We start from the raw sequence: 23,607 nt of genomic DNA on the forward strand, positions 1-23,607 counted from the left end.
GGGGAAGAGCTCAGTTCTGGACTGAAGTGGAAGTAGAATGGGAAACAGGAAGAAGCAAGCCTAACTAAAAAGTATTTCCAAGACAGAAGTATAAAGAAAAAGGACGAACATGCCCTTTATAAGATAAATGCACCTTTTTTTTTTTTTGATGGGGTCTTGCTCTGTTGCCCGGGCTGGAGTGCAGTGGCGCAAACTCGGCTTACTGCACACAACCTCCCCATCCCAGGTTCAAGCGATTCTCCTGCCTCAGCCTCCCGAGTAGCTGGGACTACAGGCGTGCACCACTATGCCCAGCTAATTTTTGTATTTTTAGTAGAGATGGGGTTTCACCATGTTGGTTGGCCAGGATGGTCTCGATCTCCTGATCTCGTGATTTGCCTGCCTTGGTCTCCCAAAGTGCTGGGATTACAGGCGTGAGCCACCTCGCCCGGCCTCATATACCACATTTTAAGAATTGTTGCTACATTGCTTGTTCGGGAATTTTCAGAGACTAACAACACACTGAGTAATACACATTCTGGCTTCAGCCAAAGTAGCTTTGCAAGCACATGAAAGCCCTTTAACATGACTGTATTCTGGAAGAGATTAAGTTAAAAAATATGGGCCGGGCGCAGTGGCTCACACTTGTAATCCCAGCACTTTGGGAGGTGGAGGCGGGCGGATCAATTGAGGTCTGGAGTTCGAGACCAGCTTGGCCACAGAGAAATCTCATCTGCACTAAAAATACAAAAATTAGCTGGGTGTGATGGCGGGTGCCTGTAATCCCAGCTACTCAGGAGGCTGAGGCAGGAGAATTGCGTGAACCTGGGAGGTGGCGGTTTCAGTGAGGCGAAATCGTGCCACTGCACTCCAGCCTGGGCGACGGAGACTAAGTCTAAAAAAAAAAAGAAAGCCCATTAATTAGAGTATACCCTATAACAATCACCTACAGATTATTAGCCTCTGTGCTTTGTTGAGATATGCAGACTCATATCTAATTAACACAGAAAAATCCATTTTGTTCTAGCAACTCCTTTCAAGCCAATCCTGGAAGCTTCAGTTATCAGAAAGCAAAATGGAGAAGAACATGTTGTACTCATGTGCTCCACCATGAGAAGCAAGCCCCCTCCGCAGATAACCTGGCTACTTGGGAATAGCATGGAAGTGTCCGGTAAGGGGAGAAATGGTTCTCTTTGTCTTCCTTCCTACTCAAATTTCCAGGGGATTTTTAAATGTTTTGGCACCCTCTAGTGGCAGACAATGCCAGAAGACATCATTTAATATTTCATCAGCTCTTTTCCAGACAAGTTATTCTTACAACCAATCAATTTTATGCCTTAATCTTGAAAGGCTAATCATAGATATTGAAAATGTTTTTGTTTAAAACAGGTAAAAATCTAAAGTGAACTATAATGACTTCTTAAAATTTCACAAAATTGTCTAAAATAAGTATAATACAGAAGTATAATATCTCAGGCGAGGCACAATGGCTCATGCCTGTACTCCCAGCACTTTGGGAGGCCAAGGTGGGTGGATCACCTGAGGTCAGGAGTTCGAGACCAGCCTGACCAACATGGAGAAACCTCGTCCCTACTAAAAATAAAATTAGCTGGGTTTGGTGGTGCATGCCTGTACTCAGGAGGCTGAGGCAGGAGAATTGCTTGAACCCAGGAGGTGGAGGTTGTGGTGTGAGCCAAAAATCACACCATTGCACTCCAGCCTGGGCAACAGGAGCAAAATTCTATCAAAAAAAAAAAAAAGAAGAAGTATAATATCTGTGAGCATAAACTTTTTCCCAGATATAAAATCGAAAATATATTTAACATAATACATATAATTGGAACAGATATGATCTTCCCTATATTGTATAGTACTATATTGTGTCATACCCACAAGAACAGATTAAAAATATTCTTGTAACAAAGCACCTAAAGGTTGAGCCTTTGAAACAGAATAACTAATTAATTATGGTGTCTGGGTACTGTTTATAGTTTGCTTACATTTCAACAGACATTACCTTTGATATCTATGTAATCAACCATCTTTTTTTTTTGAGATGGAGTCTCACTCTGTCTCCCAGTGCAGTGGCACGATCTTGACTCACTGCAACCTCTGCCTCCTGGGTTGAAACGATTCTTCTACCTCAGCTTCTGGAGTAGCTGGGATTACAGGTGCATGCCACAACACCCAGCTAATTTTTGTATTTTTAGTAGAGACAGGGTTTCACCATGTTGGCCAGGCTGGTCTCGAACCCCTGACCTCAGGTGTTCCAACTGCCTCGGCCTCCCAGAGTGCTGGGATTACAGGCGTGAGCCACTGCGCCCGGCCTGTAATCAACATTCTTAGAGTTGCAAAGGACCCTTTACAGTTGAGAACACTGAGGGCCAAATGGAGTTCTAGAGAGAAAAGACCTAAACCCAGATCTGATTCCCAGGGCAGTGCCAATTCTACTTCATTATAAGACTTCCCTTTAATTCGCCTTATTCATATAACCAGAATAAGGTCTTGGATCTTTGTGTTTCATAACAACATCAAGCTGTCCTTCTTAAGCTTTGAATTTTTTTTTCCAGTAGTGAAAAGTTTGTAGAAAACCATCATCTACTCTCATTCATCTGTTTGCCTTTGTGACCAGAACCAAGCCTATACAAGGGAACTGGCTGAGGTTAGAATGAGGTTAGAAATCTAATGTTTGCCATGAAGTCAAGGCCATTGGCCTCTAATAGAACCAACCTCATCCAGTAGCATTAAATAGCCATAACCTCTTCAAATTGCTACATAGGTGGAACGCTCCATGAATTTGAAACTGATGGGAAGAAATGTAATACTACCAGCACTCTCATAATCCACACTTATGGCAAAAATTCAACGGTGGACTGCATTATCCGACACAGAGGCCTGCAAGGGAGAAAACTAGTAGCACCCTTCCGGTTTGAAGATTTGGGTAAGAAGAACTAATGATTCTCTTGAATAATTTTTGATTTACTTTAATATTACACTATCAAACAAAATTAAATGCAGTGGGCAGAGTCCTTCAGATTAAGATTACTGCCAACAAAGCTTTCCTAATAGCAAATTCCTGTACTGATTGAAATTTCTCCAGGTGAGTGACGGAATTCCAACTATTCCAATGTTCAAAAGAACCCCAGTTGAGCAGAAAGCCTAGCACAGCGCCATATGCAAATAGTGTCATGCTTGCTTTTTGATAATGACTTTAAATCGTTTTATTGCTGTTGTGTTTTTGGAGTAATCATATGAATCATACTGCATCTTTGTACTTGACCCAGAAGGAGATAATGTTAGCTGAAATAAACCTAAATTGTCAATATCATTTTATGTGAATATGAAACACACAGATACATGAAGACATAATTCCTGTTTAGATTTATTTTATTGTTATAATTGCTTTGAAGATTTTAGTTTAACCATGTTAATATTCTGAGTTGAACACCATTTTAAACATCCAATATTAAATGTGAAGAGGAGTTGCCTCCATTCTCAGAACCTCTATTCTATGATTCTTTCCCCAAAAGTCCAAGAAATAATTTTAAAACTGTACACAACTCTTTGAGCCAAGAGGTATCCTTTAAGATGCATGAGTCCTGTAAGAAGTCTGCAATTAGTAGGACTCTGAGTTTCACTGTTTTACAAGGTACTTCTCTGTGTAATCAAATCCTAAAGTATAAGGAATTACTCACATCAGTGAAAGAGGAAACTGTTGGATGACAATGCATTTATTGAAAAAGCTCTTTTATCAGACGAAATCGCTGATGCTGAAAGGCAAGCTTGCTTAGGAGAACCTCACTGTGGGAAAGCTGCCGTGATGCCCTGTGGGGGCTGTGGCTGCGGTTAACAGGCCCCCTCTGACTACCACAAACTTTCCATGGGTCACTTTCTCACCAAACCAAAAGTAGTCATTGCAGAAGCTGCACTGTAAGACTCATGGACCTACAGACCGAGCTGTACAGTAACCTTACACAACCACCCCCACCCCTCTGTGAGTCATCCCCACCCCACGCCTCCACCTCCAGCAGTAGAACTGAAGCATAGGGCATGTGGGGGATGAGCCTGTATCTAAAAGCTTCCTAAAGACATTCAGGTTCTTCAATAGGAGAACCAACAATGTCGAAAAAAATGCATTCTTAATTTTCAGCAATTGTTCAAGCCATCTACAAAAATTACTATGAAGGGGGAAATGGCAGTTCTCCACCTTTACGGCTATAGCTCTGTATGACTCAAAATTATAGCTAAAGATGTTTTTAATAATAGGCTAAGGCCAGGCGTAATGGCTCACGCCTGTAATCCCAGCACTTTGGGAAGCCGAGGCGGGCAGATCACCTGAGGTCAGGAGTTCGAGACCAGTCTGGCCAACATGGCAAAACCCCATCTCTACTAAAAATAAAAAAATCAGCTGGGCATGATTGTGGACGCCTGTAATCCCAGCTACTTGGGAGGCTGAGGCACAAGAATCGCTTGAACCCGAGAGGCGGAGTTTACAGTAAGCTGAGATCACGCCACTGCACTCCAGCCTGGGCAACAGAGCGAGACTCTGTCTCATAATAATAAGAATAATAGGCTAAGACTTAATTTTTATTTGTGATCTATTTGCTGTACTCATTGCCAGATCTCCAAATAGTATTCAAAGAGAAACGCCAGCATCAGCTGTTGATAGCTTCCATTAGTTCATTGTTTCTTCCATTTGGCTAGCTGCTACTATATTGACATATAGATGTTACAAACATTTTGTTCACCCAATTAGGTAAAAAATATTACTAGCTGAGGATGCTTTAAAACACATTTACACATAAGGGTTCTGACCCCTTTCATTCCTGTGCTCTGCATGGAAGGACCTGGGTAAAGTGAGGGTCATGCCAGCACCAGGACTAGGGTGGTCCTGAGGAAAGAAGTGCCTTCCTCTGAAAAAGCCACAGTGTGATGCTTCGAGAAAGAGAGTAGAGCAACAGGAATTGATTTTTGAATAGGCTATCTTTGTTTTTATGTTTTGTTTTGTTTTTTGAGACAGGGTCTCACTCTTTCACCAAAGCTGGAGTGCAGTGGTGTGATCGCGGCTCACTGCAGCCTCAATCTTCCAGGTTCACAATCAGTCCTCCCACCTCAGCCCCTCAAGTTGCTAGTACTACAGGCATGCACCACTACATCTGGCTAATTTTTAAATTTTTGCTGAGACGGGGTCTCCCTATGTTGCTCAGGCTGGTCTCAAAACTCCTAGGCTCAAGAAATTCTCCCTCTTTGGCCTCCCAAAGTGCTGGGATTACAGGCATGAGCCACCTCACCCAGATTTCAGAATTATCATTTATTTATTTCTTTTCTTGAGACGGTCTCACTCTGTTGCCCAGGCTGGAAGGCAGTGACACAGTCTTGGCTCGCTATAACCTCTGCCTCCCAGGCTCAAGTTGATCCTCCTGCCTCAGCCTCCGGGGTGGCTGGGAGCACAGGCATGAGCCACCACGCCCTGCTAATTTTCATATATTTTGTAGGTATGGGGTTTCGCCATGTTACTCAGCCTGGTCTTGAATTCCTGAGCTCAAGCGATCCCTCAACCTCTGCCTGCCTCCCAAAGTGTTGGGATTACAAGCATGAACCACCACACCTGGCTCTTTTTGTTGTTCTTGTTGAGACAAGGTCTCCTTCTGTAGCCCAGGCTGGAGTGCTGTAGTGCAATCATAGCTCGCTGCAGCCTCTACCTCCCAGACTTAAGTGATCCTCCCACCTCAGTCTCCTGGGTAGCTGGGACTACAGGTGCACACACCACACCTGGTTAATTTTAAAATTTTTTATAGAGACAGAATCTCATTATGGTGCCCAGGCTGGTCTGAACTCCTGGGCTTAAGTAATCCTCCCTCATCGGCCACCCAAAGCACTGGGATTAGAGGCGTGAGCTACTGCACCTGGTTTATTTCATCTTTTTAGTATTTAAAATGCGGAATCTTGGTTTTCTATTACTTACCTGGGGATAGGATTTTTTAAATATTTGAAAAACAGTTCTCAAACTTTTGATTTCAGGACCTCTCTACAATCTTAAAAATAATCGAGAACCCCAAAGAACTTTTACTTATATAGGTGATGTCTGTCAATATTTACCTATTAGAAATTAAAACTGAGAAATTAAAAAAATATGTATCTGTCAATTTATTTTAAAATAATAAATCTGCTACATGTTAACAGAAATGGCATATTTGTTTTTATTTTATTTTTTGAGATGGAGTGCACTTATTTTTTGAGATGAGTGCAGTGGCCCGATCTCAGCTCACTGCAACTTCCGCCTCCTGGGTTCCAGTGATTCTCCTGCCTCAGACTCCTGAGTAGCTGGCATTACAGGCTCCTGCTACCACACCTGGCTAATTTTTTTGTATTTTTAGTGGACATGGGGTTTCGCCATGTTGGGCAGGCTGATCTTGAACTCCTGACCTCAGGTGATCCACCTGCCTCGGCCTCCCAAAGTGCTGGTATTACAGGCGTGAGCCACCGCATCCGGCCCAGAAATGACATATTTTAATGAAAAAAAAAGTATATTTTGTAACACTGAAAAGATTAGTGTGAAAATGTCATTTTTTTACATTTTGAAAATCTCATAAATGTCTAGCTTAACGGAAAACAATTAGGTTCTTGTAACTTTTGCATTCGATCTCTTCCAAAATGTTATTTTGCTTTAAATAAATATATAAAAATTCAATCTCACACAAATATATAATTGGAAAAGGGTAGAATATTTTAATAGCTGGTTCAGATAATTGTGGCTATTCTTCTTTGATGTTACACCAAAACTCAACAAGTAGTAGTTTCTTAAAGATTAGTTGCTATGTGGACTCTGGGCCCATGTCAATGAACTTTTCATACTGTTATATTAAAACCCACTGAACTGTCTTACACTTTGCTTAGAATTTTTACCCAGGCATGATTTTTCTAACATTATGTTTTAGTCATTTGGAAAATACTGATTCACTAAGTTCTACAGAACTTTCCAATGTTGATATATTTCAGCATCAAAATCACATTCATTAATATCATCACCGATCTCATCAGAAATCTTTAAGCATTTGGAGGTTGTCAAACTCACAGTGGTGGATACAAGTTGTCCGAAATTTGAACTTTAAGTGTGACTATTGCAAATGAGGAGCTATTTTATTTTTTGAGATGGAGTCTTGCTCTTGTCGTTCAGACTGGAGTGCAATGGTGCTATCTCAGCTCACTGCAACCTCTGCCTCCCAGGTTCAAGCAATACTCCCACCTCAGTCTCCTGAGTAGCTGGGATTATAGGTGCCCACCACCATGCCCAGCTAGTTTTTGTGTTTTTATTAGTAGAGTCAGGTTTCACCATGTTGACCAGGCTGGTCTTGAACTCCCGGCCTCAGGTGATCTGCCCGCCTTCACCTTCCAAAGTGCTAGGATTACAGGTGTGAGCCACTGCACCTGGCCTAAATTTTTAATATATTTTCATTTTAATTAATTTTAATTTAAATAGTCGTTGGAGCTAGTGCATACCATATTGGATAGCAGAGGTCTACAATATTCTGACCAACTAGGGGGGTAGATCATCATGTGCCAGTATCCACCCAATTAAAACAACATTCAGTCTAAATGCAATAGTTTGCTAGCTTGTTAATTAACAGGATAAATCAAAGTAAATACAGAGTCTAGTTTTAAATATGTATAGATAAAACTTGTTTTGTACATAAACATAATTTTCTGAATTCACATAGTATATACTATGTTAGAAGATTTAAATCACTATTGATAAATTTTATTCTATATGTCCCCAGTGATGTCCTTCTTCTTTTTTAAAATTTTGAGACAGGGTCTCACTCTGTCACCCAGGCTGGAGCGCAATGGTGTAATCACGGTTCACAGCAGCCTCGACCTCTCTGGGCTCAGATGATCCTCCTACCTTGGCCTCCTGAGTAGTTGGAACTACAGGGGCGCACCACCATGCCCAGCTATTTTTTTGTAGAGATGGGGTCTTGCCATGTTGCCTAGGCTGGTCTCAAACTCCTGGGCTTAAGCAATCTGCCTGCCTCGGCCCCCCACAGAACTGGGATTACAGGCATGAACCATTGTGCCCGGCCCCATATTCTTCTTAAAATTTATTCCCAGTACTTCTATTTGACTAGCATTCCAGCTTTTCCCTCTTTTCATTGCCAGCAGCTCTCCTCTTTCTTCAATTTTCTCTGGCACCTGTGTGGTCAGAGTTCATTTTAGCCTTATAGTCTATACTATTATCTCTATAATGTTTCCTTAGTAATTCTTTCTTTCCTCAGAGCCCTTACACACAATTCAGGTATTTTTATATTTTTCATACAGTTTGAATGTTTGATTAACCAGATATGTTTTCAAAACCATGGAAAATTATTTGATTAAATAAACACCAAGAAGCACTCACAAATTTTATAAAAACATGAACCACCTGTGACGTGTCAGTATATATATATATACACACACACACACATACATATACGTATATATATATATATATATATATATATATATATATTTTTTTTTTTTTTTTTTTTTTTTTTTTTTGAGAGGGAGTCTCCTCGCTCTGTCGCCCAGGCTTGAGTGCAGTGGTGCCATCTTGGCTCACTGCAACCTCTGCCTCCCAGGTTCAAGCAATTCTCTTGCCTTAGCCTCCCAAGTAGCTGGGATTACAAACACACACACACCACCACGCCCGGCTAGTTTTTTGTATTTAAAGTAGAGATGGGGTTTCACCATGTTGACCAGGCTGGTCTTGAACTCCTGATTTCAGGCGATCCACCCACCTCAGCCTTCCAAAGTGCTGAGATTACAGGTGTGAGCCACTGTGCCCACCCGACATGTCAGTGTTAGTATTTGTAAAGTGACAGGCACAGTTATTACATGCTTCCTGGATGTGGCTGGTAAAACCTGTTCAATGACTGGTAAAACCTATACTAGGCTGACCCTCTGGAAACATTCCTAAGCATTGATTAATGTTATACAATAACATTTAGCACTGTGCTTCATAAATAGCTAGGCATTGTACTAAACATGTTATATAAATGAACTTACTAATTCTCACAAAACACTCGAAGAGGTAAATGCTGTCAGTATCTCCATTTTACAGATAAGAGAAAAAAAAGTGCTAGGTCGGGTATCTTGTCCAACTCATTCAGGAGCAGGTAAATAGCAGCACTGGAATTCAGCCCAGTCTGAGGCTGATTCCAAAGCCATCTAATAGGTAGATAGATAGGTGGATGGGTAGATAAACAGACAGAGGGATTGATTGATGGATAGAAGGACACAGATAGAAACAGTGAATACTCTTTGCCTACCACTGCCACCACACAGAGGTCCAGCATGCTGTGCTTTAAGCCAGGCAGGTGAGCAGATGGACACTCAGTGGGATACAGATTCAAAAACCAGAGCAGGAGCCACAGAACACACAGTTCTGGGGTTTCTGCACAACCTCTACAAGCAGGTAGCCGCTAAATATATTCTCCAATCTCTTTTACTGAGCACAATGTGGGTAAAACTGCTCTCTATAGTAGCAGAATTTTGTTTTTCCCCTTTCCTAGTTACTGATGAAGAGACAGCTTCAGATGCTCTGGAGAGAAACTCTCTATCCTCTCAAGACCCACAGCAGCCCACCAGTACTGGTAAGTGTCAAAATCATTCAAACTTGTTTTTAAAAAATCACGTTTCCTTGGGAAGGTTATTTTTCTCATTCTAAGTTTTAAGAATATTTTTTGTTTTAATTTTTACTAAGACCATACAGGCCCCTCCAACTGGCTCCAGCTTTGTACCATCCTAGAGAAGAACCACATCAGGCATCGGAATACTTAGTGGGATGGGCTTCAGGCTGACATAAAGCTTTGCAAGTTCAGTTCTAGTTTGCCTGAGATAGAGATGTACACATGTACACACACACATTCACGACTGTGACATTTGAATTTCCTCTGCAGTAAAGGACAAAGTTGAATTCATTTATAGAGAGACTCGTTTCTTTGTTTTCCCATCTGAAGCACACCAAACACAAAACACAGACTTGGTATCAACAAAGAGAAAAGAAGCAGAAGCTGGAGATTTGGTGTTGTCATTGAATAACAAAATCACCTCTGAAGGCACATCAATTACTTGATTGTCAATAACTCAGGTCATTTTTGATGATGGGATTGAACTACAAATACAGAATAATTTAGAAAGCCTGGATTATAATTCCAATTTTTTAGACAGTGAACTCACTAGAGGTTAACTCAGAGCAATGATTGTATATCTAATTTAACTTTGTATTTTACCTAGCATAGTATCCAGCAATAGCAGCTTCTCAGAAAATGAATTACGAAAGAAAGAAAGAAAGAAAGAGAGAAAGAAAAGAAAGAAAGAAAAAGAAAGAAAGAAAAAGAAAGAAAGAGAGAAAGAAAAGAAAGAAAGAAAAAGAAAGAAAGAAAGAAAGAAAGAAAGAAAAAGAAAGAAAGAAAGAAAAAGAAAGAAAGAAAGAATTGGTTATGGTGCTTTGAGCAAGACTATTAGCCTCATCCAGAAAGGCATAAATTCCTACATATTCTCTTTCCATTTCATGTAATGTGTCAATAATAATTTCATTTGTTGGAATAAGGGCTTTCAGAGCATTATCATGTTCATAGTTCTGAGTATCAGATCATATTTTTAAAAATTTGTATCCTAAATAATATTTAAAAGTAAATGTTTGGGATTTCTAAACACTGATAAATACAACATGTACCATACAATTTTTTGAAGGACAATGGAAATTGAAAATATTATGAAGTGGAACAGCCACATCACTTGCTTTAATAATCCAATATTTGTAAACGTGTTTAGAATCTAGTAATCTTTAACGGCTTGCTACTGAGCAACTCAATTTTCTGCTCTGCTTTTTCATATATAAGACTTTTAAAATAGGGTTTCTAAAATTCCTTTCAGCTTTCCATTTCTACGATTTTATTACATTTAATACCCATTTTCAATAGAATGGGAGGCTTCATTCCCCTCGGGGTCCACATAGTGGCGCTGTGCAATGGACTAAAAAGCAAGAAACTGCAGAGAGAAAAAAGGAAATTGGAAACATCAGCAGTAAAATCTGGAAAAAAAAACCACACAGTTTCTGATTTTTTATAATTTATCTTATCTAGAAAAAACATCATAGTACATCCCACTTCTAATGGGGAGGCAAGCAGAGGTTTGAATAACTGAAGCTATATTTCAACATAAATTTCAGGCTGTAGGTTTTCTATAATTAAAGCTTGGAATGCCGTTCCTCGGTGTTCAGTTGTTATCTTGAAGCATCCTAAAGACCTTCTCCCTAATAGGCCTGATTCAGGATGGAAATATGAAATAATGGTTTAAATGCTGGGCTCTAGAGTTAGGTAAAACAGAGTTTATGTATTGGCTTTGCCACTTATTTGCTACAGGACTTTAGGTACTTTACATAACTGCTCTAAACCTCCGTTTTCTCAGAGCTGTGGTGAGAAATAATATATACCAAGTGCTCAGTTCAAGGCCAGGCACAGAGTAAATGCCCAAAACATTTACCTTAAAAAAATAAGGCAAAGTGAGCCTAGCCATTTGCAATTATGTTTGCAAGAAATCCATAGTTCACAAATGATCTCAGTACTGTTTTTAAATTTGGCTTCCCAAGCTGCTCTGGGAAGACTTACGTAACTACAGTTGTATGTAGTCACATGTATATAATGCATGCATAGCTCATGTTTTATCTTCTTTCACTTTAGTCTCAGTAACGGAAGATTCTAGTACATCGGAGATTGACAAGGAAGAGAAAGAACAAACCACTCAAGATCCTGACTTGACCACCGGTAAGTGTCACCCACTGCATTTAGAATAAACACTCGACATTTTAACCTCTTAATCGATAAATTCAATGGCCTTTGTCAGTCCTCCCTTTTCTTGACCTTTCTGCCCTTTAGGACATGATTGGTTAATCACTCCCTTGTCCCTCCTTGATTTAGTTACCTCTCGGCTTCTTGACATACTTTTCCTGGTTCTGTTATTTGTTGCTAACCACTGCTTCTCTGTATCCATTAATTAACTTATCTTCCTCTTCTGACTTCTTAAATGTGTATGTACTTCTGATTTTACTTCTCCATCTTTTGTTCTTCCCTTTTTTTTATATATATATATTTTTTTTGTGAGACAGAGTTTCTTTCTTGTTGCCCAGGCTGGAGTGCAGTGGTGCAATCCCAGCTCACTATAACCTCCACCTCCCGGGTTCAAGTGATTCTCCTGCCTTAGCCTCCCGAGTAGCTGGGATTACAGGCACACGCCACCACCCCAGCTAATTTTGTATTTTTAGTAGAGATGGGGTTTATCCATGTTGGTCAGTCTGGTCTTGAACTCCCGACCTCCGGTGATCTGCCTGCCTCGGCCTCCCAAAGTGCTGGGATTACAGGCGTGAGCCACCGCGCCCGGCTGTTCTTCCCTTATTTTTTAAAGAGTTTACTCATTCCCAAGATGGTTCCTGTTGCCACTAGGCAAAAGATTTCTCTCTTTTTTTTTTCTGGTTTTGTTTTGTTTTTAGAGACAGGGTCTCTCTCTGTCTCCCAGGCCAGGGTGCAGGGGCACGATCATGTTCACCGCAGCCTTGAACTCCAGGGCTCAAGAGATCTCCTACCTCCACCTCCCAAATAGCTGGGATTACAGGTGTGAGCCACTGTGCCCAGTAAGCAAAAGATTTCTATACCTATATTTCCAGAACATCCTCCTCAGCATTGCTCCCAATTTCTTTCCATTTTCTATGTATCTGTAGCTGAATTTTCTGTGATTTCCCCAAACTCAACATTGCTAAATACCAAACAGCACCTTCTCCCACAAAATCAGCTTGTCCAAAGCATCACACAGGCCCCAAAGCAACACACGGGTCCCAAACCTTGGTGTTATCTATCACTCCTATGTATGTGTACAAATATATCTATGTGTATATGTATATGCATATGCACACACGTATATAAAATCAGTCAATTTCCAAGAACTTTTGAGTCTTGTCTTTCAGGTATTTTGTCCATTGTCACTGTTAACGTCCCAATCCAGGCTCTCATCATCTCCTGCATGGAGTATTATAACTTCAGTTTCTCCTCCTCTGGTTCACTTTTAGCACCCTACCATCAAAATATCTCTTTATCTGCATACCTGTGTTCTAAAACCCTTTATAGCTTCCTGAAGTCTACAACACAGAGCATGAGTCCCAAACACCTCATTAGGTGCCATCTATTACCTACTTCTGCAGTCTCATATCTACAAAGTCCTTATGAGATACATATTTTTCTCTGAAAACATCAACCCTTTTCAATCGCCCTGCCCTTGTTTATCCTCACTGCCCCTGGTGGAAGAGGAGACCTCCTCTCACCTCTCCTTACTCCCTCTTCAAGGCCAATATCTTCACTGAAAACTTTTTTGACCAACTCAACCCTCAGAGACCATTCTTGCCTCTGAACCCCTGAACACACTATGATATAAATACATATGGATCCAGAATTTGACATATCTTACTTTTGTTTGTTTTTATTAATTTGTTTATATATAGAGACAGCTAATCCCCAAAGCATGTGAACTGTGCCTTCTGTAGGTCCAAGCACAATGTTCTACACATAGCTGGCACTCCTTAATTATTCATTGGTTAAGATGAGGTGACTAGGACATTTAGCAAGACTACAGCCCATAGAATCAGAATTCTAGGTTTAGAAAGCCTTTTTTTTTTTTTTTAAGAGACAGGTCTCATCTGTCTCCCAGGTTGGAGTGCAGTTTCACAGTCATAGCTCACTGTAACCTTAAACTCCTGGACTCAAGTGATCCTCTGCCTCAGTCTCCCAAGTAGCTAGGACTACAGGTGTGCACCACTGCTCCTGGCTAATTTTTTATTATTATTATTTTTGTAGAGACAAAGTGTCACTATGTTGCCCAGGCTGGTCTCAAACTCCTGGCCTCAAGCAACCCTCCCATCCCAGCCTCCCAAAGTGCTGGGATTACAGGCATGAGCCACTGCACCTGGCTAGAAATATTTTCACAAGCTCATCTGATTTAGCCCAAATGCCTTCCTGTAGGGCCACATTTAACCTAACCAAGATAAATAAATTTTCATTTTATTTGGATAGTTTTTTAAACTCCTTAACAATCCCTCTTGCTACTTAACTATATTTTGCTAAAAATCATTCCTAAAGCTAATTTGAATCTCCTGACTATAACTTAAGTCGATTTTCTCATATGCTTTCTGTAGAAATAAAAAATAACTAGCCCAATAGCTACGTCACTTAAAAAATCTTTTCAAATCATCACACATAATTGCCTTGTTTGTTGTATGCCTGTTTGCTTGTTCTCAGAGAATGAACAATGTAAGTCTCTTTACCTTCAGGGGTAAGCTCTTTCTCATCTCTTCATCTGAGCTGTCTATTAGCTTATATCACATTGTAGAAGTATTGTTACATATTCTCCAGTGGCAAAAAAAAAAAAAAAACCCAAAGTATCTAAACTCCTTTTTCATTTTCCTTATAGAAGCAAATCCTCAGTATTTAGGACTGGCAAGAAAGAAAAGTGGCATCCTGCTGCTCACGCTGGTGTCCTTCCTCATTTTCATACTCTTCATCATAGTCCAGCTCTTCATCATGAAGCTGAGGAAAGCACATGTGATATGGAAGAAAGGTCAGTGGGCAGGGAACCTGACGGGGGCTATAAGACGCCAGAACAAATGGCTAAAAAAAAGGGAAATTCTGTCCATTAAAGCTTTCTGTCAGACACTACATAATCTATTTGATAAGTGCTGTCTCAGATAAGCAATTGTTTGTTTTCTAGTAAACTCGGGTGTGAATCTCCAGGGACTATAGTCTAAGAGTGTATAATCAATAGAAACTAGCATAGATCCAGAAATTGGCATTAAATGATAGACACTTCTATTCACAGAAGGATAAAAATCCCAGGACTGCCTAGCACAGTCCCTACAGGAATCAAAAACTATGTGTTGAATTAATGAGGTATGAGTTATGGGAGGGGCATGGTAAGTCTACTATTGCACAGTAACAGAGGTATTATCTTATTCAAATATACATTTCTACATGTCCATGGCATCAGAAATTAGTTGCTTGATTTTCTTTTTTTGTAGAAAACGAAGTTTCAGAACACACACTAGAAAGTTACAGATCAAGGTCAAATAATGAAGAAACATCATCTGAAGAGAAAAATGGCCAATGTAAGTCAACTGTATGACCTGAGATCTGAACAATGAGGTTCATTAATGTATTAGTCAGATTTCTCCAGAGAGACAGAGACAACAGAATATGTGTGTGTGTGTGTGTGTGTGTGTGTGTGTGTGTGTGTGTGTGTGTGTATGAGGTGGGATTTATTAGGGGAATTGGCTCATGAGATTATGGAGGCTGACAAGTCCTTGGACAGGAGGTCTGCAAACTGGAGACCCTGGTATGCTGGTAGCCTGGCTCAGTCCAAGTTCAAAGGCCTGAGAACTCAGGGGACCGCCAGCGTTAAGTCCTGAAATCCGAAGCTAGGGAGTCTCGAGTTCTGCTGCCAGGAGAGAGGAGGGAGTGTATTCCAGCTCCAGCAGACAGATCAACACATTTGCCTTCTTTCTGATTTTGTTCTTTCTGGGCCCCCAACAGAATGGATGGTGCCCATCCACATCAAGGGCAAATCTCAATGCCCACCTACTCCACTCAGACTCACACACTAATCTCCTCTAGAAACAACCTCATAGACAAACCCAAAAATAATGCTTTACCAGATTTGAGGTATTTCTTAATCCACCCAACTTAACACTTAAAATTAACCATCGCAATTAAGTAGTCGCCTTTAAAAAGAAGGAGGCTGGGTACGGTGGCTCACGCCTGTAATCCCAGCACTTTGGGAGGCCGAGGCGGGCGGATCACGAGGTCAGGAGATCGAGACCATCCTGGCTAACACAGTGAAACCCTGTCTCTACTAAAAATACAAAACAATTAGCCGGGCATGGTGGCAGGAGCCTGTAGTCCCAGCTACTTGGGAGGCTGAGGCAGGAGAATGGCGTGAACCCGGGAGGCGGAGCTTGCAGTGAGCCGAGATCGTGCCACTGCACTCCAACCTGGGTGACAGAGAGGGACTCCACCTCAAAAAAATAAAAATAAAAATAAATAAAAAGAAGGAGAAGAATCAAAATCTGATTTTTTAGCACTAGAAAGTCTCCTAAATCATCCTGTAGAACTTAAGGAGTCTCATCTGCAAAAATAAATAGTAGCAGTTAAGTTCATGTAGCAGAAGGTGACTTCCTTTTGGGAAGCCATCCTTGACTGTTTGACGTCACACACAGGGATACCCCAAGACCACCAGAGGATCCTATGACACCTTTGTCATAGAAGCACGTCTTCCTCCATATTGTAATTTTTGGTGTTTTTACATAGCTACTACAATACTCCTTTAGGTGGTGAGTAATCAGATTTACTCTGTATCCTCAGATTCTAGCACAGGTTAGTTGATAAATTTGTGTTAAATGAGTGACTATAGGCTCAATTAATTCAAGAAGGCATGTGTCAGGTCCTTTGGATGACTTCATTGCAATTCCTGAGACAAAATATGTAAAGAAAATGAAGAGAATCGGGATGGGAAGGAGATTGTGTATGGGAAGTGGAGGTTGGGGATTGTATTCTTGATAAAGATCTGGAAGGCAGAAGCTAGGACTATAGAAAAGCAAGAATATTCCACCTTCCAACCATATTATTTCCTCCATACAAACTAACTTATTCTACCCGCCAGGAGCTGCAAGAAATACAGCGAGTTTTGCCGCTCTATTCTATTGGTTTTACTGAGGTTTTTGTAGGAGGCTTGTCTTTTATAACACCTCTGCCTCTTTAGGTTTTGACCTACTAGAGCGTGAACTGAAAAGAATGAATAGATGTACTAGCTGGGAAAGGAACACAAGAGAATTGACTGTGTGAAAACTGGGGGTGGGAGGGGAAAATGTGTGTAAATAACATCCAAGTCGATTGTGTTGCAACACCTGTTTCTAAATACCCGTCATCACATACTCACCTGGTGGACAGGAAAATGATGTTAATATCATGTGTGAGTTGGGTTGCTCCCTGAGCTGTTTTTCCTAGGCAAGAAGAACCAAAACAGTGGGAGTAGAATTATGTCTGTTAGCTGGAAAAATGGAAGCCCTTCCAGTTCAACTTTTAAAACAATTTTTCTTTCTTTTTTTTTGAGACAGGGTCTCTCACTCTGTTGCCCAGGCTGGAGTGCCATGGTGCCATCATAGGTCACTGCAGCCTTGACCTTTCGAGCTCAATCAGTCCTCCCGCCTCAGCCTTCCTAGTAGCTGGGACTACAGGCACGCACCACCACGCCCAGTTAATTTTTATATTTTTAGTAGAGATGGGGTTTCACCATGTTGCCCAGGCTGGTCTTGAACTCCTGGACTCAAGTGATCCACCCACCTTGGCCTCCCAAAGTGCTGGGATTACAGGCATGAGCCACCACGCCCAGCCAACTTTAAGAATATTTAAAATGAGTACCTGCACGACTCAGGGGATTCCTCCCCAGAAAAGTACATCTTCAGGGGTTTGCTGGGGGTTTCACTTTCTCCCGAGCTCAAGCCTTCACTTTCATCCTCCTTGCCTTAGCACCCTCAAATCTAGCATTTTAATTGTGTTGTTTTGGACATATTAAAAATATTCTCTGGGGCCATCTCTAGTCTCTTTGTACAGAATTGCATAGGCCTTGAGTGTGATCTGCCCCGACCCTATTTTTGCAGTAAGCCCTGTTATTTCTAGTGTGCAATTTTGCTAAGGCAATATGTTATGGTCAGCAACAGATTATTTTACAGCAGAAATATCTGTATATTTTATTTCACGTTTACCAGTATATTGTTTATATAGTAAGACTTCTTTAAAAATTATAGTATAGGCCAGTGCAGTGGCTTATGCCTATAATCCCAGGATTTGGGGAGGCTGAGGCGGGTGGATCACTTGAGCCCAGGTGTTTGAGACCAGCCTAGGCAATATAGTGAAACCCCGTCTCTACAAATAATTTGAAAATTAGCTGGGCATGGTAGTGTGTGCCTGTAATTCCAGGTACTCAAGAGGCTAAGGTTAGAGGATCACTTGAGCCCGGGAGGCTGAGGCTGCAGTGGGCCGTGATCACACCACTGCACTTCAGCCTGGGTGGCAGAGTGAGAACCTGTCTCAAAAAAAAACCACGAAAAACAAAAAAGAATATAATAATGCCTTCAGACCATTTATATGCATCAGTAAGTTTTAGGTTTTTATAAAGCAATATGTGAACCTAAAAATATGATATCCAATCAAAGTGTTTCAAGTAAATGGGTGCAATGTTATTCAAAATAAATATTCATCTTCAACATGTTTTTCTTTCAGCTTCCCACCCTATGCGTTGCATGAACTACATCACAAAGTTGTACTCAGAAGCAAAAACAAAGAGGAAGGAAAATGTACAACATTCAAAATTAGAAGAAAAGCACATCCAAGTACCAGAGAGTATTGTGTAGTGCTCTCTGCAATGGAACATGTGATTTCAGGGTTGCCGCAGTGTCACCTCAGTGGACCAGCCTGGGGGAAGGAGCTTAATTGCTGAGACATTAATAATGACCTCTTAGTGCAATGCAAGATGGTGTCCTCGGATAATGATCTGCCCCGGAGCTAGGGCAGCAACATGAGGACCAAACCATGCACATAAAGCTTGTAGTTTAAAAAAGAAAAGCAAAAAAATAATTATGCCTGACACTACTTCAGAGCAGGAGGATTCTACGAAGCCTTGGGGATCAGGGTCAGTGTGAGCAGCTAACATCCTACCTCAAATGGAACAGGATTTTTTGATGCTTTGCTCTAATGGAACTGTTTAAAAAATTTTTTTTTCTTTTTAATATTTTCTTCTGGTCACAAAATAAAGAAATTTGGGATGCAAAGTACCTAAAGATCTCTGATCCTAAGAAGTTACTTCTGGCCAGGCGCGGTGGCTCATGCCTGTAATCCTAGCACTTTGGGAGGCTGAGGTAGGCAGATCACTTGAGGTCAGGAGTTGGAGACCAGCCTGGCCAACATAGTGAAACCCCGTCTCTACTAAAAATGCAAAAATTAGCCAGGCGTAGTGGTGCGCACCTGTAGTCTCAGATACTTGGGAGGCTGAGGGTGGAGAATCGCTTGAACCTGGGAGGTGGAGATTGCAGTGAGTCAAGATCTCACCACTGCACTCCAGCCTGGGCAACAGAGGGAGACTCTGTCTCAAAAAAAAAGAAGTTACTTCCAAGACAGACTTTTAAGATGTAACCAGCACAAAGCAATGTCAGGGAGGAGTGATACATGACAATAAATGAGTCAGATGAGCAAGAAGGCCCCAGAACCCATGCCCCAAGGCACAAAGAGGAGCTCAGGGTAGGCCCAAAGATTCGAATTCCTTAGATTACTAAATCACATGAGCGGACCTTGTCTGTCAGATAAGATTTTTACCTGGAAATTCCATGACCAATACATGTGCAAAAGAAAATGATGGGTTGAATTTACTGATTATTGACCTAATGGATGGCTTTTTAAAATGTTTTAATAAAAAGCAGAATAGATGTTTGTTTTTCTAGTGGTTATACCAAGTTATACTTCCTGTTTTCACGTGTGAAAGTAACATGGGACATGCCTTTCTTTTCCGATCAGTTTATTTAAGCTATACAGCAAACTTTGGCATTTATGTGGAGCATTTCTCATTGTTGGAATCTGAATAAACCAATTACAAAATAACATATGTGCACATTGTAAGTCTGTAATTTGTGATAGGGGCCAGATCCAACCATGCTGATTTTTTGTTCTCTTGACAAAACTGTTTTGGACAATCACAACATTACAGAAAAGTGTAAAGATAGAACAAAGCACTTTTCCCCCTGGAATCATTTGAGAGTAAGTTGACACAATACCCATCACCCCCCAAATCCTTCAGTGTGTGCTTCCTACAAATAAGAACGCTCTCCTTTAGAAACACAATGCAACCATCAAAAGTGGGAAATTAGCACTGTTCTGCTTCCACGAACAGTCCTCAGACTCCATTCAGGTTTCTCCAATTGTCCCAAAGGATCCAGTTCAGAGTCACACTTCATTTTAGTCTCATTCAGTTTGGAACAGTTCTTCGGTCTTGGCTTGCCTTTCATGACCTGGATATTTTTGAAGATTACAGGCTGGTTATTTTGTAGATCATCTCTCAATTTGGCTTTGTCTGCTTCCTCGTGGTTAGATTCAAGTTGTGCAGCTCTCATAGGACTGTCACAGAAGCGATGTTAAGTTTATTTCATTGGGCCAGGCACAATGGCTCACGCCTGTAATCCCAGCACTTTAGGAAGCAGAGGCAGGCGGATCACCTGAGGTCTGGAGTTCGAGACCAGCCTGGCCAACATGGTGAAACCCCATTTCTACTAAAAATGCAAAAATTAGCTGGGTGTAGTGGTGCATGCCTGTAATCCCAGCTACTCAGAAGGCTGAGTCAGGAGAATTGCTTCTACCAAAAAATACAATCCCAGAGTGCTGGGATTACAGGCATGAGCCACTGTGCCTGGCATATAATGGGGTTTTGAGCTAGATGAAATATAGTTCTATTGTTCAATGTTGTACCTTCCAAGAGAGAAGCCCTCCCCCTTCCTGTGATTGCTTTGAACAAATTTGTTCAAGAGCAAATTTGTTATAATTGATAATTACTCTAGACCTGTTGAAATATGTTAATTTTTAGGCCAGGCGCAGTGGCTCACACCTGTAATCCGAGCACTTTGGGAGGCTGAGGCGGGTGGATCACGAGGTGAGGAGTTCGAGACCAGCCGGGCCAAGATGGTGAAACCCCATCTCTAATAAAAATACAAAAATTAGCTGGGTGTGGTGGCGGGCACCTGTAATCCCAGCTACTCGGGAGGCTGAGGCAGGACAATTGCTTGAACCTGGGAGGCGGAGGTGGCAGTAAGCCAAGATCGCACTACTGCACTCCAGTCTGGGAGACAGAGCAAGACTCTGTCTGAAAAAAAAATTTTTTTAAATGTTAATTTTTTCTTACGTTTTCTGCTCTATGTCTTGTTTCCAGTTAGAAGCAAACCAAAACTAAGGCCACAAAAATGTCATTATTCTCCCAAATGCCATCTTGCCTAGGTTGATCTCAAACTCCTGGGCTGAAGTGATCTGCCCACCTCGGCCTCCCAAAGTGCTGAGATTATAGACATGAGTTGCCAAACTGGCCCACACACTTTTAAACAACCAGATCTCGATGAACTCAGAGTGAGAACTCACCCATTAGCAACAGGATGGTACCAAGCTATTCTTGAGGGACCTACCCCTGTGATCAAAATACCTTCTACCAGGCCCCACCTTCAACACTGGAGATTACATTTCGACATGAGATTTGGAGGGAACAAATATCCAAACCACATCAACGAGGCTAGAACATTTTATACTAGAAAGAAAGGAAGCTATCAAAGACTCTTCTGGAACTGTGTTAAAGGGCCCAGAAACCAATTTGTGTACACCCTCCAGGGACTTTCAGTGGCCAAAGATGGGATAATCTGAGCATTAAAAAAGAGTAGTGATTGGGCCGGGCATGGTGGCTCATGCCTGTAATTCCAGCACTTTGGGAGGCTGAGGCAGGTAGATCACGAGGTCAAGAGACCAAGACCATCCTGGTCAACATGGTGAAACCTCGTCTCTACTAAAAATACAAAAATTTGCTGGGCGTAGTGGCATGCACCTGTAGTCCCAGCTACTCAGGAAGCTGAGGCAGGAGAATCGCTTGAACCCGGAAGAGGGAGGTTGCAGTGAGCTGAGATCGCGCCACTGCACTCCAGCCTGGTGACAGAGCGAGACCCTGTCTCAAAAAAAAATAAATAAATAAAATAAAAATAAATGAATAAATAAATAAAGAGTAGTGATTGAAACATGTTAAATACATTAAAACTCATGAGTTTTTACAATACTTTAAAAATGTACTGATCAGCTTTAGAGATTGCTCAGACACTAGTTTTTAAACTGAAATTTGAAATATATCATTAAAATAACTATGTAATAAAAACAGCCATGAGCACAAGAAAAGATGGGAAACGCAAATCGAAACTGGAATATGATGCCGCTTCACACCTATAAAAATGGCTATAATAAAAAAGAGAAAATAACAAATTTTGGAAAGGTTATAGAGAAATGAGAGCCCTCAGACATGACTGGTGAGAATGTAAAATAGCTCAGCCACATTGGAAAACAGCCTTGCGTTACTCAAAAAGTTACACATAGGGTTACCATATGCTTCAGCAGTTCTACTCCTAGAAAGAATATACCCAAGAGAATTGAAAAATATGTCCACACAGGCGGGGCGTGGTGGCTCATAGTGAAACTCCATCTCTACTAAAAATACAAAAATTAGTTGGGTGTGGTAGTGTGAGCCTGCAAGCCCAGCTACTCAGGAGGCTGAGGCAGGAGAATTGCTTGAACCCGGGAGCCGGAGGTTGCAGTGAGCCAAGATCGTGCCACTGCACTCCAGCCTGGGCAATAGAGCGAGACTCTGTCTGAAAAAAAAAAAAAAAATATATATATATATATATATATCTCCACACAAAAACTTGTACAGTAATATTGGCCAGGTGCGGTGGTTCATGCCTGTAATCCCAGCACTTTGGGAGGCCAAAGTGGGCAGATCGCTTGAGCTCAGGAGTTTGAGACCAGCCTGGGCAATGTGGCAAAACCCCGTCTCTACAAAAGATTACAAGAAGGAATTAGTGGGGCATGGTGGCCCTCGCCTATTGTCCCAGTTACTTGGGAGGCTGAGGTGGGAGGATCACTTGAGCCCCAGAGGTCAAGATTGCAGTGAGCCACGATGGTGCCACTGCCTTCAAGCTGACAATGAGACCCTGTCTCGAAAAAAAAAAAACAAAAAACAAAACAAAACAAAAAAACCTTTTACAGGAATATTAATAGCAATATTATTTATAATAGTCAATAGTGAAAACAGCCCAAATTACCATCAAATGACGAATGGGTAAATAATAGTGCCACTGCACTCAAGCTGACAATGAGACCCTGTCTCAAAAAAAAAAAAAAACCTTGTACAGGAATACTAATAGCAATATTATTTATAATGGTCAAAGGTGAAAACAACCCAAATGGCCATCAAATGATGAATGGGTAAATAAGTTGTGGTATATTCATAAAGTGAGGCTGGGCGCAGTGGCTCATGCCTATAATCCCAGCACTTTGGGAGGCCAAGGTGGGCGGATCAGCTGAGGTCAGGAGTTGGAGACCAGCCAGACCAACATGGAGAAACCCCGTCTCTACTAAAAATATGAAATACAAAATTAGCCGGGCGTGGTGGCACATGCCTGTAATCCCAGCTACTCGGGAGGCTGAGGCAGGAGAATCAGTTGAACCCAGGAGGCGGAGGTTGTGGTGAGCCTAGATCACACCATTGCATTCCACCCTGGGCAACAAGAGCAAAACTCCATCTCAAAACAGAAAAAAAAAGTGAAATATTATTTGGTAATAAAAAGAAATGGAGTACTGATACATGCTGTAACATGAACTTTGAAAACATTATGCTAAGTGAGAAAAGCCAGACACACACTCACAAAACACATATTGTATGAAGCCATTTATATGAAATGTTCAGAATACACCAATCCAAAGAGACAGA

At 41.3% G+C, this 23,607-nt stretch overlaps 1 protein-coding gene across 3 annotated transcripts in view, besides 1 other annotated feature; it reads left to right on the forward strand.

Annotated features, from left to right (window-relative positions):
* Window positions 1-19,707, forward strand: part of CRTAM (cytotoxic and regulatory T cell molecule) — a 34,144-nt gene extending 14,437 nt beyond the window's left edge. For 2 of the 3 annotated variants that reach the window (NM_019604.4, XM_011542900.3), the window contains 7 exons: window positions 1,007-1,150; window positions 2,759-2,920; window positions 9,528-9,608; window positions 11,700-11,783; window positions 14,473-14,619; window positions 15,077-15,163; window positions 18,333-19,707. In NM_019604.4, the coding sequence (NP_062550.2) occupies window positions 1,007-1,150; window positions 2,759-2,920; window positions 9,528-9,608; window positions 11,700-11,783; window positions 14,473-14,619; window positions 15,077-15,163; window positions 18,333-18,463 (836 nt within the window). In that variant the 3' untranslated portion in view covers window positions 18,464-19,707. Of the gene's footprint in view, window positions 1-1,006; window positions 1,151-2,758; window positions 2,921-9,394; window positions 9,609-11,699; window positions 11,784-14,472; window positions 14,620-15,076; window positions 15,164-18,332 lie in introns of those variants that run through there. The other variant, NM_001304782.2, reaches the window with a different exon arrangement.
* Window positions 3,580-3,789: an enhancer, noted in NCBI's record as "active region_5674". NCBI's record gives its function as "activates an Ori minimal core promoter by ATAC-STARR-seq in GM12878 lymphoblastoid cells {active_cell/tissue: GM12878}" and the evidence as "EXISTENCE:reporter gene assay evidence [ECO:0000049][PMID:35858748]".
* Window positions 19,708-23,607: the final 3,900 nt, after the last annotated feature.

This window comes from Homo sapiens, chromosome 11 (genome assembly GCF_000001405.40).
Source record: "Homo sapiens chromosome 11, GRCh38.p14 Primary Assembly".
Classification (NCBI taxonomy): domain Eukaryota; kingdom Metazoa; phylum Chordata; class Mammalia; order Primates; family Hominidae; genus Homo; species Homo sapiens.